The following is a 17,023-nucleotide window of genomic DNA, read 5'->3' on the forward strand; positions in this document are numbered from 1 at the left end:
CCACACATTGAAGGTTAAGAAGCCCTGTTCTAAGGGGTAACGTCTTCCAGAGAGCTTAGCTGCTTCCAGTGCCCTACCTCAAGGGTCTGATTCAAGGAATGAGATGGAAGTCTGCAAATGCAGGCAGATCACTAAGGTTTCTGGCCCTGGGGCTCCATCATCAGTCTACCCTCCACTCCAGATTGGCCTAGAGATCCCCAAGTGTGAGGCAAGGAATCAAGCGCTCCCTGAGAGGGTGTCAAGCCCCAGCGCCTCCTGGAGGCCTCCAGCTGTGCAGAATCATGCTCTTGGCAGCACCTGGCTGCTATTGTTAGGAGAGAATGAGGAGCTGCGAGGACAGTGGCACTGTACATGCTGACTAAAAGGCGGGGCTCCTATCTGCATTTGGAATGACATACCCGATTCTATTTGGGAAGGAAACACAATGGCCCTTTACTACAGGATTTGAATGGCAGGAACCAGCTAAATGGACTAGGAAATGATTAAGAGACAAAAGTCAAGGCATTGTGTGTGCACCATGCTTAGCCCAGTCCTGAAAGCCCTATTATAATGGCCACTGTTCCTGTAGCCCCTCCTGAGCCCCACCACCCTCCTCAGAAACACTGTGGCTCCTTGGACACACTGCAAGGCCTATTTGTCTCTCCTCAAGGAAAAGGGTGGAAAGCTACAGCAAACTTTGCCAGGGACTGGGAGGGATGGTGAGGCAGGGAGAGATGAAGGGGCAAAAGACAGGTGGGACAGGAGGTGACAGCCATAGACCACAAGCGGATCAGGGAAGGATGCAGACGGCAGAATTTGCAAATGTTGTACTGCAGCTTGGAAGAGAGGAGAGAAAGAAGGGGGCAGGGAAATATCCACTGCTGTCCCACATCATGGGGCAGGATGTCAGGAAGCCCAAGTTCAAAACCCTTGCCCCACATACTGGCTATGTGACTAAGGCATTTTGCTTGTGCTTTCTGGATCTCCTTTTCCTGGTCTGCAACATGCAGATGCTGATATTAGCCGTATGTGGTGATATGCCAATGAAATTAACTGAAATGAAGCATAGGAAAGTGCTTAGCACAGTTCTTGACACATAAACTGTCAATTCTAGATCAGAAAGAACAAGAAATTGCTTCCTTTGCCTGTCAACTAGTACATACCGCACCACCCCAGTCCTGCCCATGTCACCCCCTGAGAAAGGCTTAAGGCATGATTCATCTCAACATATTAGAGGTTGGTGCAAAAGCTATTGCACTTTTTGCCATTACTTTTAATACAACCTAATATTTGTATTTAAGTGGGGACTTCAAAAGAGTCAATGGCTTCTGTTTCAAAAGAAACACTCGGCGGGGCGCGGTGGCTCACACCTGTAATCCCAGCACTTTGGGAGGCCGAGGCGGGTGGATCACGAGGTCAGGAGATCGAGACCATGGTGAAACCCCATCTCTACTAAAATACAAAAAAATTAGCTGGGCGCGGTGGCGGGCGCCTATAGTCCCAGCTACTTGGGAGACTGAGGCAGGAGAATGGGGTGAACCCCGGAGGCGGAGCTTGCAGTGAGCCAAGATGGCACCACTGCACTCCAGCCCGGGAGACAGAGCTAGACTCTGTCTCAAAAAAAAAAAAGAAAGAAAAGAAAAGAAAAGAAAAGAAAGAAAGAAAGAAAGAAAGAAAGAAAGAAAGAAAGAAAGAAAGAAAGAAAGAAAGAAAGAAAGAGAAAGAAAGACTCTCTAATCATGGAAATGGTATCAGGAGGTCCGAGAAGGACCTAGGCTGATATCTCTTGAGTCATGACCGCAATGGGACCACTTTCCTACTCAGCCTCTGTCTGAGACCATTGAATATGATCTGAATCCAGCTTTCTTTGAGCAAGGTTAGAGAGAAATGCTCTGACAGCAGAAAAAGACTTGGAATGCCAGGAGCTCTGCAGCATGACTCCAGCAGTGGGGGTCAGTGGGTGGCAGGAGTCACTGGGGAATCAGGCCTGGGAGAGTCAGGGCTGCAGGTCACATGGCAGAGCCTGAGTCCCCCATACAGACATACAACCTGGGCCTGCCCCCCACTCCTGGACAGTAGAGACCCGTAACCACTGCTCCATAGGAGTTGGGAAGTTAGAAGGTCTACATTTGGTTCATGAACCACAAGATGGGGCCACCAAGATGACAATCATTCTGATAGCCAAAAGGATCTGGATCTCAGCATGGAGAGTGTAGCCACTGAGCACTGATGAGCCACAATTCTCATGGGGTGGGGCCAGGAAGGTAATGTTCTGACAGGTGGTGGGACTTGGATGCATGGGGGTGTGGGGGTGGCAAGAGCACAGAGCCAAGCTGAGATCAAAATGGTGGCCCTTAGGGCCCCTTATCCAAAACCTGACACAAAGAGGGTGGCCCACTCCTGCCTCCTTGCAGACAGTCTTGAGGAGAGGGCAGTGGAAGACAAGACAAGGGCTTCTAGAGAGAGTGTGGCAGCCAGGCCGCGGATGTTGGGACAAGTGTCACTGCACTATTTGGGGGTCTGGGAAGGGGATGGAGGTCAGGGTCAGAGGCACAGCCTCAGAAAAGCTGGACGGAGCAATAGTGAGTGCCCAGGTAGCAGACTGCACATGCCTGATGAGGACTGGTCCACCCACTCAAGGAGTCCAGGGAGACCAGAGGCAGAGGGGTCAGTTGGCTGAGAGGCGGCCGTCAGGGTAGAATTGGTGACAGATATGGGAGAACATGTTGGTGCCCATTAGAATCATAAAACTGAAATGGCTGCAGAATCACTAGAGTAATTCTAAAGCCTCCAGGGAGGCTTTGAGTCAGGTGCTCAAAGATCCTGTCCACATTCAGCTGGAGTGGCCACAATGCCAGTCGTCACTTCAAAACAGACACCCAGAAGAGGCAGCAGGGCCCAGCCCTTAGGAAAGAGTTGGAGAAGATGAATGAAGCAGAGCTGTCACCCAAAATAAAAGGCTATTTGTGGTGGTATTAAGTACAAAGTGAAGAACCAAGGTGGGAGGTAGACTATATCTTATGAGAAATGACCACAGTGAGGTCACACATTCCTTCCTTTTATGCAAATAGGAAGACCCAGGTCCCTATACATTTCAATAAGCCTTTCTTCTTTCCCAGGGTCATCCCTCCCTGTAAGCTCCAGGAGGCTGCGCTAATGCTCTGCCCTCAAAGAGAGAACTGGAAGGGTATTTGGCCAGGTGTACCTTCCTGGGCTCTTCCAAGGTGACAGCTCTCACCCTGTGCTGCAGGTGGCCCTGTGCCTGGTGCCACTTCTCACTGCTTACCAGGGCACATGGACACCGGTGGTTCCCAAAATGGGTCACAGCAGGATGGCCTGCATCAGAATCACCAGGGAGGGCTATAAGAAGGCAGACTTCTTCTTTTTCTTTTCTTTTCTTTTTTTTTTTTTTTTTTTGAGACAGAGTTTACTCTTGTTGCCCAGGCTGGAGGGCGATGGTGCGACCTTGGCTCACTGCAGCCTCCACCTCCCAGGTTCAAGCAATTCTTCTGCCTCAGCCTCCCCAGTAGCTGGGATTACAGTTGCCCACCACCATGCCTGGCTAATTTTTTGTATTTTTAGTAGAGACGGGGTTTCACCATGTTGGCCAGGCTGGTCCCAAACTCCTGACCTCAAATGATCCACCTGCCTCAGCCTCCCAAAGTGCTGGGATTTCAAGTGTGAGCCACCGCACCCGGCAAAGAAGGCAGACTTCTAAACCTAGAAATTCTGATGCAATAACATGTAGGAAAGAGCCTAGGAATTTGCAAAAATGTTTCAACCCCCAGACAATTGTGAAGCACGGCCAAATTTGGAAAATATTGATCTACACAAAACAATGCAACTATCCAAATATTAAAAATGACTTCACAAAAGATAGCTAAGAGTTTGTGTCCAATTTTGTAAATATATAAGCAATATACATTGTGGTATATAATAAATGTATAACTCCGATTCTATAAACACACACACACATGCGCATATATCTGAGTTGTAGGATGATAGAGGTTTTTCTTCTTTATTCCTTTCTCAGTTGACTTTCTATAATAAACACTTATTCTGTTCATAAAGAAAATATGATTTTGTGAGTGCTGGGGAGCAGATTATGACATATTTGGACTCCCAGAGAGGCTTAGCTCAGATTCCGTGTGTGGGTTTCCTAAAAACGCAATGCCTCCCAGCGAGGCGTGCTGTCCCCTTCCTTTCTTCTGGAGAGTCTTCGTATGTGTTTGTTTCAATACACTCTTCATTCTGACTAGCAGACTGCACGGCTGGCTTTTGTAAATGAACACTCATTTCGCTCTATTAAATTAATATATTGACTTTTTTTTTCCACAGGAGTTAAGGAGGAGATCGGGGCTGGGGGGCTGGGCATGCATTCAGGATAGGGCTCTAGTCAGCAGGAAATGAAAGAGCTGAGCAAGGAAACTGAGGTTGATATCAACATGGTGGGGAGGAGAGGCTGCTGTGCGGAGGCTCCCCTGTGCTGCAGGTCGCCCTGTGCCTGGTGCCAGGGCTCTCACTGGGGACCCTAGACCCCTCTCAAGCCAGAGCCCCATCATGCCAGGGCTGAGTCTGCTGTTGCTCTCCCTGGGGCAGGAGGGGAGAAGATCTGGTATGAGTCCAGCGTGAGTGCTTCACACTGGTGAAGAACAAGTTTCTGGAGTGAGAAAGAACTGGATTCAAAATCTGAGTCTGGCACTGAACACTCAGGCATGTTACTGTCCTTCACTAAGCCCAGTTTCCTCTCATCTAGTAGGGATGATAACAGTATCTACTCAATGGATTTCTTGATCACGACCATCGTCCAGCTCCCACAGACCCCATCGCCACCCACCCTCCTCAGGATGCAGTGACAATGTGGGCCTGCTCTGAAGACTCAGGGTTGGGGCCAGATGGTTAGAGAAGATGTCTGCTTTTTTCTCCCCTTCAGCCATTGAGACAAATATTTGTTATGAATACTGAGATTCTTCATTCTCTGCTTCACTTCTGACTGGAGGCAGCCTGAGGGGAAGACTTTTTTGAGAGGGAGAAACTGCTGGGAAGGTCCCTGGCTCTTGAGGGAGTGACACTGAATATTAAGGGTCTGGAGTGATGTCTGGAACGGCTGCAGCAAATCACTTCATCCCTCTGAGCATCAATTTCCTTTTATTTATTTATTTTGAGATGGTCGTGCTCTGCCTCCCAGGCTGGAGTGCAATGGCAGAATCTCAGCTCACTGCAACCTCCACCGCCTGGGCTCAAGTGATTCTCATGCCTCAGCCTCCTGAGTAGCTGGAATTACAGGTGTGCACCACCACATCTGGCTAATTTTTTGTATTTTTAGTAGAGATGGGATTTCACCATGTTGGCCAGGCTGGTCTCAAACTCCCGACCTCAAGTGATCCACCAACCTCGGCCTCCCAGCATGCTGGGATTACAGGCATGAGCCACTGCATCCATCCAGTTTCCTTTTCTTTCCAACTAGGGATAATAGTGCCTTCTTCACAAGGCTGTTGTGAGAATTACATAAGATATTATTTGTGAGAGACTGTAGCATCATGATTGGCATATAACAGCACCCAGCAAATGTTAGTTTCTTTCCTCTTTTAATAGCCAACGTGCAGGGAGAGTTTAATTCTGGAAATATTTGTTGACCACTTATTATGACTTCTGTAATATTTGAACGTGAATCATTGACAAGTCAGTCTGAAAACTGGCTGAGAGTCTGCGGGCAGGGGATTTGGAAAGAAAGGCAGTGGGACGACTCACCCTGGGGAAGAGAGGAATGTGTTTGCTCCTGAGGGAATGAGCCCCTAGGTTCTTTCTGGTGGGGGAAGAAGTCTGGAGCTGGAGGAGGCTGTCTGGGAGGTGGTGTGGCCTCTGACTTGCACTCTCAGCCTTAAGCCAATGGCTCACACAATGCTAGTGTGATTGCATTTTCTGTGAAAATCTGGCAGAACTGAGTTCCACAGCTGACATGACTGGAACAAGAGGCTCCATTCATGGACTTAGAATAGAACCAACATTAGGGCAAGGGCTCTAGAAGCTTCCAGGGGTGGGGTGCTGGAGCGTTTGAGTCAAGGGCACTTACGTCTCTGACAAGTGAAGAACCTCAGCAGATCTCTGCTTTACCCATACATTTTACAAGATGCCCTGAGTGCAGCTGTAGAGGGATTTCTCCAGTCAAGGATCCTTGACATGAATGCTCAAAAGATACATTCTTCCTCTACGGTGCAGTCATCAAGGACAGCAGGACAAGCAGATATATCCTCACCTGAAGTCATAACCAGGATCAGTTTTCCCCAATTCCAGCTCTTCAATTCTCCAAAGAGGACTTTCTGTAACTACCTTAGGAGAAACACACTACAGAATAAACATCAGCAACCAGCACAGGTGTGAGTGGAGACATTTGATCCCCAGCCCTGTCATTGTTGAATCTGGTGTGTCTAAAACCTCACGAAGGGGCAGAGGAGAACATGGTGCAGTAAACAACCTGCCCCATGCCCCAACTTACACTGCTGGCAGTAAATGACCCTCACAACTATCTCCTCCACTCATTCCCACAGATAGTGATATGTTGGCATTAACAACACATCTCTTTAAAAATTCAATTATATTTGCGTCTATTTGACAGACTAGAATAATTACTATCTGCTGCTAAGGTTTCCCCTGCAGATGCAAGAAAAAAGTGACCTTACATTTTCTGTCTGTCTGATTGTGGCAGCCAAGATTGAATAGGGAAATACAGAGGGTAGAAATCTAATTATATAACAGTATTGTGGTCATTTTTTTAAAGTTCTTATCTTTTGGAGACACATATTGAAATATTTATGAATACAATGATATGATTGTGGGATTAGCTTCAAATAATACAGGATGAGTATGATTTCATTTACATGAAGTACAAAAGCAAAAAGAAAATCACAAACCCATGCTGTTGAGGTGAGGAGAGTGGGGCGGAGGGTGGAGATAGTGACCAGTAGATAGGACGAGGTGGGTATCTGGGATTTGCATTTACACAAATGGCTTTGGGTTATGAAAATTCACTGTGCTTTAATTTTATAGCATATGCTTTTCTGTGCCTGTGTATATGTATACATGTGTATGAACATCATACTTCAACAAACCTTTTTGAAAAATCATAATGTGGGAGGAGGGGTAACTGACGTGGGGGTGGGAGTGGGGAGTGACCAAAACAGGATTGTCTGGGTGTTCACTGCTGAAGCTGGGTGGTGGGCACGCAGCGGTTTATTTTACTAATCTCCTATTTGTGTCAATGCTTGACATTTTCCACAAGAAAAATTTTATGAAAGTATCCCTGGAGGTGGCCGGGCGCGGTGGCTCACGCCTATAATCCCAGCACTTTGGGAGGCCAAGGTGGGAGGATCACGAGGTCAGGAGATCCAGACCATCCTGGCTAACGTGGTGAAACCCCGCCTCCACTAAAAATACAAAAAATTAGCCGGGCGTGGTAGCGGGTGCCTGTAGTCCCAGCTACTCAGGAGGCTGAGGCAGGAGAATGGCGTGAACCCGGGAGGCGGAGCTTGCAGTGAGCTGAGATCGTGCCACTGCACTCCAGACTGGGAAACAAGAGCAAGACTCCATCTCAAAAAAAAAAAAAACCAAAAAAACAAAAAAAAAGTATCCCTGGAGGTGTTACGTCTCATGTATTCTTAATTTTTTTTTAATTATACTTTAAGTTGTAGGGTACATGCGCACAACGTGCAGGGTAGTTACATATGTATACATGTGCCATGTTGGTGTGCTGCACCCAGTAACTCATCATTTAACATTAGGTATATCTCCCTCCCCCCTCCCCCCACCCCACAACAGTTCCCAGAGTGTGATGTTCCCCTTCCTGTGTCCATGTGTTCTCATTGTTCAATTCCCACCTATGAGTGAGAACATGCGGTGTTTGGTTTTTTGTCCTTGCGATAGTTTGCTGAGAATGATGGTTTCCAGCTTCATCCATGTCCCTACAAAGGACACGAACTCATCCTTTTTTATGGCTGCATAGTATTCCATGGTGTATATGTGCCACATTTTCTTAATCCAGTCTATCATTGTTGGACATTTGGCTTGGTTCCAAGTCTTTGCTATTGTGAATAGTGCCACAATAAACATACGTGTGCATGGGTCTTTAGAGCAGCATGATTTATAGTCCTTTGGGTATATACCCAGTAATGGGATGGCTGGGTCAAATGGTATTTCTAGTTCTAGATCCCTGAGGAATCGCCACACTGACTTCCACAATGGTTGAACTAGTTGACAGTCCCACCAACAGTGTAAAAGTGTTCCTATTTCTCCACATCCTCTCCAGCACCTGTTGTTTCCTGACTTTTTAATGATTGCCATTCTAACTGGTGTGAGATGGTATCTCATTGTGGTTTTGATTTGCATTTGTCTGATGGCCAGTGATGATGAGCATTTTTTCATGTGTCTTTTGGCTGCATAAATGTCTTCTTTTGAGAAGTCTCTATTCATATCCTTCGCCCACTTTTTGATGGGATTGTTTGTTTTTTTCTTGTAAATTTGTTTGAGTTCACTATAGATTCTGAAGTCTCATGTATTCTTAAATATTATTAGTTTTTTGAGCCGAGGTCTCTCTCTATAGCCCACGCTGGAGTGGAAAATGTTAATTTTTTTTTTTTTTTTTTTTTTTGAGACAGAGTCTCGCTCTGTCACCCAAGCTGGAGTGCAGTGGCGCAATCTCGGCTCACTGCAAGTTCCGCCTCCCGGGTTCACACCATTCTCCTGCCTCAGCCTCCCGAGTAGCTGGGGCTACAGGCACCCACCACCATGCCTGGCTAATTTTTTGGGGTTTTTTTGTTTTTTGTTTTTTGTTTTTTTTAGTAGAGACGGGGTTTCACCGTGTTAGCCAGGATGGTCTCCATCTCCTGACCTTGTGATCTGCCCACCTCGGCCTCCCAAAGTGCTGGGATTACAGGCGTGAGCCACCGTGCCCGACCAAAAATGTTAATTTTTTAAAACCAAAGGCTCAGTACGACAGGAGTTGAAGCTCTGATCGGTCAGAGAAGAGGATGGGTCATTTGAATATGAGCCAGAGTGCTGAGTGTTTGTGCAAATGTGATTTTTTTTTGCCTACCCTGGTGAAGCCACCTTAAATTAGTAATTGTCATTTAAAAGGGAAACAGAGAGATATATGTTAGCATTTGCCAATATTTGTATTTATTTACTAATTTTATTGATTACTTATTAATATTTCTAGACTTCATATCTGTACTATGTACAAATATAGTATAAATATAATAATGCACATTTGACAAAAAGCTTTTAAAGGAAGAGATAAAATATGTAAATAGATATTCTAATGTATTATTTCTACATGCCAATGGATCTTTTTTGGGTGCCTCCAGGGTATATGATTTGGAAAACATACTTTTTCTTTTCACAATAAGAACTCGCAACAAAGAAAAAATAGATTTAAACTACACACACACAAAATCTAAATTCTGCTTTGAATATCTTCTATTAGACACCAGCCTTTGCCCTAGGCATATATGAATATCCTGGGCCTTGAGGGGCTAGTAGTCCAATAAGGGAGAAGGCATATAAAAATATAACTTCAATATGATATGGTGGTGCCACCAAGATGGAAATGGGAGCAAGGCATCTTGGAATTCTTCCTGCAGGAAAGAAAACCTGAGAGGAGATTTGAATCTTAACAAAGAACTTGGCATGCAAATAAATGTAAGAAAGATATTCCCAACTGTTACGGGTTGAATTGCGTCTCCAAAAAGATATGCCAAAATCCTAACCCCGGTACCTGAGAATGTGACCTTATTTGGAAATAGGGTCTTTGCAGATGTAATCAAGTTATGATAAAGTCATTAGGGTGCACCTTAATCCAATATGACTGGTGTCCTTATAAGAGGGAAAGAGTCACAGAGACTCACACAGAGAGGAGAATGCCATGTGTAGACACAGACATACAGGGAGTCTCATTCTGTCACCCAGGCTGGAGTGCAGTGGCATGATCTCAGCTCACTGCAGCCTTCACCTCCCTGATCAAGCGATTCTCCTGTTCCAGCCTCCCCATTAGCTGGGGTTACAGGTGCCCGCCACCGTGCCCAGCTAATTTTCCTATTTTTAGTAGAGACAGGTCTCACCATGTTGGCCAGGCTGGTCTCAAACTCCTGACTTCAAGTGATCTGCCTGCCTCAGCCTCCCAAAGTGCTGGGATTACAGGCGTGAGCCTCTGCACCTGGCGCCAAACTTTAACTTTTTTTTTTTTTTTGAGATGGAGTCTCTGTCGCCCAGGCTGGAATGCAGCGGTGTGATCTCGGCTCACTACAACCTCCGCCTCTTGGGTTCAAACAGTTCTCTGCCTCAGCCTCCCCATTAGCTGGGATTACAGGTGCCTGCCACCATGCCCAGCTAATTTTTTGTATTTTTAGTAGAGACAGGGCTTCACTATCTTGGCCAGGCTGGTCTTGAACTCCTGACCTTGTGATCCACCCGCCTCAGCCTCCCAAAGTGCTGGGATTACAGGCATGAGCCACCGTGTCCGGCCTGCCAAACCTTAACTTTTTTTTTTTTTTTTTTGAGACTGAGTTTCACTCTTGTTGCCCAGGCTGGAGTGCAATGGCGCAATCTCGGCTCACTGCAACCTCCGCCTCCCGGGTCCAAGCGATTCTTCTGCCTTAGCCTCTCGAGTCGCTGGGATTACAGGCATGCACCACCATGCCCGGCTAATTTTGTATTTTTAGTAGAGATAAGGTTTCTCCATGTTGGTCAGGCTGGTCTTGAACTCCCAACCTCAGGTGATCCACTCGCCTTGGCCTCCCAAAGTGCTGGGATTACAGGTGTGAGCCACCGCGCCCAGCCACCAAACCTTAACTTTTAAACGATCATTCCTAGCTGATTTTTATGCAGCCTGCTCATTTCTTCAATATCTTTAACCTCTCTAAAGGAAAAACAGCCAAACCATTTTAAAAACAAAGATCTTTCTCGCCTCAACTCTTTCCCTCTTCTCCCCTTCACAAACCTTGTTCCATGCCTTGTCTTCCGATGAACCACAATTCTCCACTGAACCGAGGTGAGAGTGATTTGTGCAACTATCACTCCACTGAAGTTGAAACTTCAATCTTTTTAAAGTTCAGAGGCTACTTGTCTCATTGACACATGATAGTAATCCACACTGAACACTTTGTGTGAAACACTCTGAACTGGACTTCTGATGTTATGCTTCCCTGGTTTTCTTCCTATCTTGGGATTTTCTCAGCCTCTTGCTGATCTCACCTCTAACCATCTCAGATCTTGGCCTTCCTCTATTCATACATGCCGTAGGCAGTCTTGTTCATTACAGTGAATCACCGCCCAGACCATTACCTGAGAGTCTGCCTTGGATATCCACCTTGGATATCTCAAAGGTCTCAAATTTAACATGTCTGAAGAACCTCTGGCTCTTATCTACCCCACACCTGCCTGTGGTTCAGGTTCAGTAAGTGGCACCATCCCCCACTGGCTTTCTAAGGTAGAAACTTGAAAGTCAACTTCGACTCTTCCCTCTTCCTCACCTCCATGAATTCTGTCCGTCACAAGGCCTGGTAGGTTCTCAAATCTCTTGAATTCATCCTCACTTCTAACACATGAATCGAGCCCCTATCATCTGTCACCTGGAGAATTTAATAAATTTCTAAGTGATCCGTTTTTCAAAATTAACTGCATTATCGAGCTATAATTCACATTCCATACATTTCACCCATTTAACATGTACAATCCATTGATCTTTAGAGTATTCACAGAGTTGTGCACCTATCAATCCATTGTGTAACATTTTCATGACCCCCAAAACCCCATACCACTCTCCGTTCCCTCCCCAGATGATCTCTTTGGTGCAGTTCTTTGCTCACATTTTCTCCACACTGCAATCAGATATTTTTCAATACAATTTTAATGTCATGCTTTTGTTTAGAACATTTATTACCCTTGAAATAAAATCCAGGTTATTTTCTGATTTATAAGGCCTTTTGAATCTGGTCTTTGCTTGCTTTTCTGGACTAATTTCCTTCTTCACAATTTACAAACTGACCAAATTGAATGTTTTAGTTACTTTAATGGGCCTTCTTTTCATACAGTTTTTTCTGCCTTAAGCACCATTCCCCATGGACTGGTTAAATCTTAGGTAACCATACATCCTAGTTTATGCTTGTTTTCACTATCACTCTCAAAAGTGTGCCTGTTTGGATGGTAAATGATATGGTAACCCTGGTTAAGTTCAATTTACACCTCATGTAACTTCCTCCAGGAGGCTTTAACAAAAATTCTATCTTGGTTCCTTTTGTTTAAATTTCAAATGCACCTCATATTACTTAACACCCAACTGTATTAGTCATTTTGATTGTCTTCACTGCTGTGAGGGCAAGGGCTTGTGTCTACCCTATTTATCTCTTTATCTTCAACACCTAAAAGTGTGTGGCACATAACAAGCACAGAACTGAACAAAACCTATGTAAAGGAGTGTATAGGTCATGAAGAAAAATTTAATTTCAGTAAAGTCATTCAGGCAACTATTTTGGAATTCTAATTAGTACTGAAATGTCTCTGACACCATGGAGAAAGGATTTGTCAAATAACCATCAAATGAGTTGGAATTAAAAAAAAAAAAAAACTTCCCAACATATAAAAATGATATAAACAAGTAGAGTTTATCTCATAAATAAAAGATTGCTTTAATATCAGAAAATCACATACCATACTAACAGAATAAAGGACAAAAACCATAGGACTGTGCCAATAGATACTGATATGGTTTGGCTCTGTGTCCCCACCAAAATCGCATGTGGAATTTTTTTTTATATATATATACAGAGTCTTGCTCTGTCACCAGGCTGGAGTGCAGTGGGGTGATGTCGGCTCACTGCACCCTCCGCCTCCCGGGTTCAAGCTATTGTCCTGCCTCAGCCTCCCTAGTAGCTGGGACTACAGGCGTGCGCCACCACGCCTGTGCACCTGGATAATTTTTTGTATTTTAGTAGAAACAGGGTTTCACCATGTTGGTCAGGCTGGTCTCCAACTCCCGATCTCAGGTGATTCGCTCGCCTCGGCCTCCCAAAGTGCTGGGATTACCGGCATGAGCCACTGCGCCCGGCCTCATGTGGAATTTTTAGTCCGCACATGTTAGGGTAGGGAACTGGTGGGAGGTGACTGGATCATGGGGGCAGTTCTCCATGCTGTTCTTGTGATAGTGAGTTCTCACTAGATATGATGGTTTAAAAGTGTGGCACATCCCCCTTTGCACTTGCTCTCTCTCTCTCTCCTTCTCTCCTTTGTCTCTCTCCTCTCTCTCTTCTCTCTCTCTCGTCGCCATGTAAGATATGGCTTGTTTCTCCTTTGCCTTCTGCCATAATTGTAAGTTTCCTGAGGCCTCTCCAGCCATGTGGAACTGTGAGTCAATTAAACATCTTTTCTTTATAAACTGCCCACTCTCAGGTAGCTCTTAATAGCAGTGTGAAAATGGACTAATACATAGAAAAATTATTTGACAAATTAGAGGACCCATTTATGATTAAAACTCACCAAATTAGGAAGAGAAAGAAACTTCCTCAACCTGATGAGGAACATCTATGAAAAATCTACAGCTAATATGTATAATAGTGAAAGATGGAAAACTTTCCCCCTACCATCAGGAGCTAAACAAAGATGTCAGCTTTCACCACCTCTATTCACAATTGTACTGGAAGTCCTAACTGAGGCAATAAGACAAGGAAAAGAAAAAATTTAACCCTCAATAGTTTAAGGAAAAATGAAAAGGCATATGGCTTTGAAGGAGTCTCAAAAAACAAAACAAAAACTCTAGAAATAATAACGTAGCCGGATTACAAGATAAAGACCAATATAAGCCAAGCTTGGTGGCTCATGCCTGCAGTCCCAGCTACTGAGGTGGCTGACGTGGGAGGGTCACTTAAGCCCTGTAGTTCAAGGCTAGCCTGGGCAACAGAGCAAGACCTCATCTCTGAAAAAAAAAAAAAAAGTCAATAAACAACTGCATTGTATGTACTATCAACTATTAAAAAACATTTTTTTTTTGAGGTAAGGTCTCACTCTGTCACCCAAGCTGGAGTGCAGTGGTGCCATCATGGTTAACTGCAGCCTCAACCTCCCAGTCTCAATCAGTCCTCCCACTGCAGCCTCCTGAGTACCTGAGACTGCAGGCACAAGCTACCATGCCCGGCTAATTTTCATATTTTTTGTAGAGATGGGGTTTTGTCATGTTGCCCAGGCTGGTCTCAAACTCCTGGGCTCAAGCAATTTGCCCACTTTGATCTCCCAAAGGGCTGGGATTATGTTACTGTGCCCAGCCATAAAAAAATTAACAGTGTCATTAAAGAAAACCATTTAGCAATAAATTCAACAAGAGATGTATAAGAACTGTACACTATATAACATTGCTGAGAGAGATTTAAAAAGATCTGAAGAGAGAAATATACCATGTTCATAGTTTGGAGGAGTTGATATTGGTAAGTTGGTAATTCTCTCCAAATTGGTCTGCAGATTCAATGCAATTGTTATCAAACCACCACTATGTTTTTTTTCCTTTTTTTGCAGAAATGGATGGGCTGATTATAACGTTTATGTGGAAAAGCAAAGGTCCTACAATAGTCAAAACAATTTTTACAAAAAGAACAAAGGAGACTTACTCTAAACTATTTCAAAATTTTATTATAATAAAGATAACATGGTACTGCATAAGGATAGACATAGATCAATGGGATATAATTGAATCCAGAAAGATCCTCACATACACATGTATAGTCCATATATATATATATATATATATATATATATATATATATATATTTTTTTTTTTTTTTTTTTTTTTTTTTTTTTTGAGATGGAGTCTTGCTCTGCTGCACAGGCTGGAGTCCAGTGGTGTGATCTTGGCTCACTGAATCCTCTGCCTCCCAGGTTCAAGTGATTCTCCTGCCTCAGTCCCCCAAGTAGCTGGGATTACAAGTGTGAACACCCAGCTAATTTTTGTATTTTTAGTAGAGACAGGGTTTCACCATGTTGGCTGGGCTGGTCTCAAACTCCTGACCACAAGTGATCCGCCTGCCTCTGCCTCCCAAAGTGCTGGGATTACAGACGTGAACCACAGCGCCTGGCCTGTATAGTTGTGGGTGTCAAGCCACCTAGATGCCAAGGCAAGAGACCGAGGGCACGAGCCGCTCCAATATAATAAAATATATAAAACAACAAGAGTTATACTAGATCTAGATCATAGACATGATTATATATGAATATCATTAATCATTAGTTTGTAGCAATTACTCTTTATTCCAATATTATAATAATCCTCGCTTTATAATCATAACCTAGGAAAAACCAGGCCATACAGAGATAGGAGCTGAGGGGACATAGTGAGAAGTGACCAGAAGACAAGAGTGCGAGCCTCTGTTATGCCCGGACAGGGCCACCAGAGGGCTCCTTGGTCTAGCAGTAACGCCAGCGTCTGGGAAGACACCTGTTGCCAAGCAGACCGTGGTCTAGCAGTAGCGTCAGTGTCAAGTTAAAACACTAGCTACTTAGCAGACCAGGAAAGGGAGTCTCCCTTTCCCCAGGAGAGTTTAGAGAAGGCTCTAATCCTCCACCTCTTGTGGAGGGCCTGACTGATGTCAGGCCCACCAGCAGTTATCTGGAGGCCTAACCATCTCCCTGTGATGCTGTGCTTCAGTGGTCATGCTCCTTAGTCCACTTTCATGTTCCATCCTGTACACCTGGCTCTGCCTTTTAGATAACAGTAGCAAAATTAGTGAAAGTGCTAAAAGTGTCTGATATGCAGAAATAGTGGCATAAGCTGTCTCTCTCTCTCTCTCTCTCTCTCTGCCTCTTCGGCTGCCAGGCAGGGAAGGGTCCCCTGTCCAGTGGACATGTGACCCACATGACCTTCCCTATCATTGGAGATGGCTCACACTCCTTACCCTGCCCCTTTGTCTTGTATCCAATAAATATCAGCGCAGCCTGGCATTTGGGGCCACTACTGGTCTCCGCCTCTTGGTGGTAGTGGTCCCCCGGGCCCAGCTGTCCTTTCTTTTATCTCTTTGTTTTGTGTCTTTATTTCTACAATCTCTCATCTCTGCACACGGGGAGAAAAACCCACAGACCCCGTGGGGCTGGACCCTACATATAGTCAATATTTTTAATAAAAGTATTCAACAGGGAGAGGATAGTCTTTTCAAAAATGGTGCTTGAACAATTGTAGATATATAAGTTCATAGAATAATGTATTAGTCTGTTCTCACACTGCTATAAAGATACTACAAGAGACTAGGTAATTTATAAACAAAAGAAGCTTGATTCACAGTTCTGAATGGCTGGGAGGCCTCAGGAAACTTACAATCATGGCAGAAGATGAAAGAGAAGCAAGGCACATCTTACATGGTGGCAGGAGAAAGGGAGAGAGAGTGAAGTGGAACTGTCATACTTTAAAACCATTAGATCTCAGGCAAACTCCCTCACTATCATGAGGACAACATAGGAGAAACAACCCCCATGATCCAATCATCTCCCAGTTCCCTTCCTTGACACATGGGGATTACAATTTGAGATGAGATTTGGGTGGGGACACAGAGCCAAACCATATCATTCTGCCCTGGCCCCTCCCAAATCTGACAACCTTTTCACATTTCAAAATCAATTATACCTTCTCAACAGTCTCCCAAAGTCTTACTCATTCCACCATTAACTCAAAAGTCCAAGTTCAAAGTCTCATCTTAGACAAGGCAAGTCCCTTCCACCTATGAACCTGTAAAATCAATAAGTTAGTTACTTCCAAGATTCAATGGGGGTAAAGGCATTAGGTAAATGTTCCCATTCCAAATTGGTCAAACTGGCTAAAACAAAGGGGCCACAGGCCCCATGCACATCCGAAACCCAATAGGGCACTCATTAAATCTTCAAGCTCCAAAATATCCTTTGACTTCATGTCTCACATCGAGGGCATGCTGATGCAAGGGGTGGGCTCCCATGGCCTTGGGCAGCCCTGCCCCTGTGGCTCTGCAGAGTACAGCCCTGCAGCTGTTCTCATGGGCTGATGTTG

General features: G+C 44.7%; 2 annotated features.

Moving 5' to 3' along the window:
- Positions 2,814 to 3,315: an enhancer, noted in NCBI's record as "H3K4me1 hESC enhancer chr7:32827661-32828162 (GRCh37/hg19 assembly coordinates)". NCBI's record gives its function as "activates a minimal SCP1, AML or CMV promoter by ChIP-STARR-seq in primed H9 embryonic stem cells {active_cell/tissue: H9 hESC(primed)}" and the evidence as "EXISTENCE:reporter gene assay evidence [ECO:0000049][PMID:30033119]".
- Positions 7,263 to 7,452: a silencer, noted in NCBI's record as "fragment chr7:32832110-32832299 (GRCh37/hg19 assembly coordinates)". NCBI's record gives its function as "represses an EF-1alpha promoter that drives an FKBP-Casp9 reporter gene in an ReSE screen in K562 erythroleukemia cells {active_cell/tissue: K562}" and the evidence as "EXISTENCE:reporter gene assay evidence [ECO:0000049][PMID:32094911]".

Source organism: Homo sapiens, chromosome 7 (assembly GCF_000001405.40).
Source record: "Homo sapiens chromosome 7, GRCh38.p14 Primary Assembly".
NCBI lineage: Eukaryota > Metazoa > Chordata > Mammalia > Primates > Hominidae > Homo > Homo sapiens.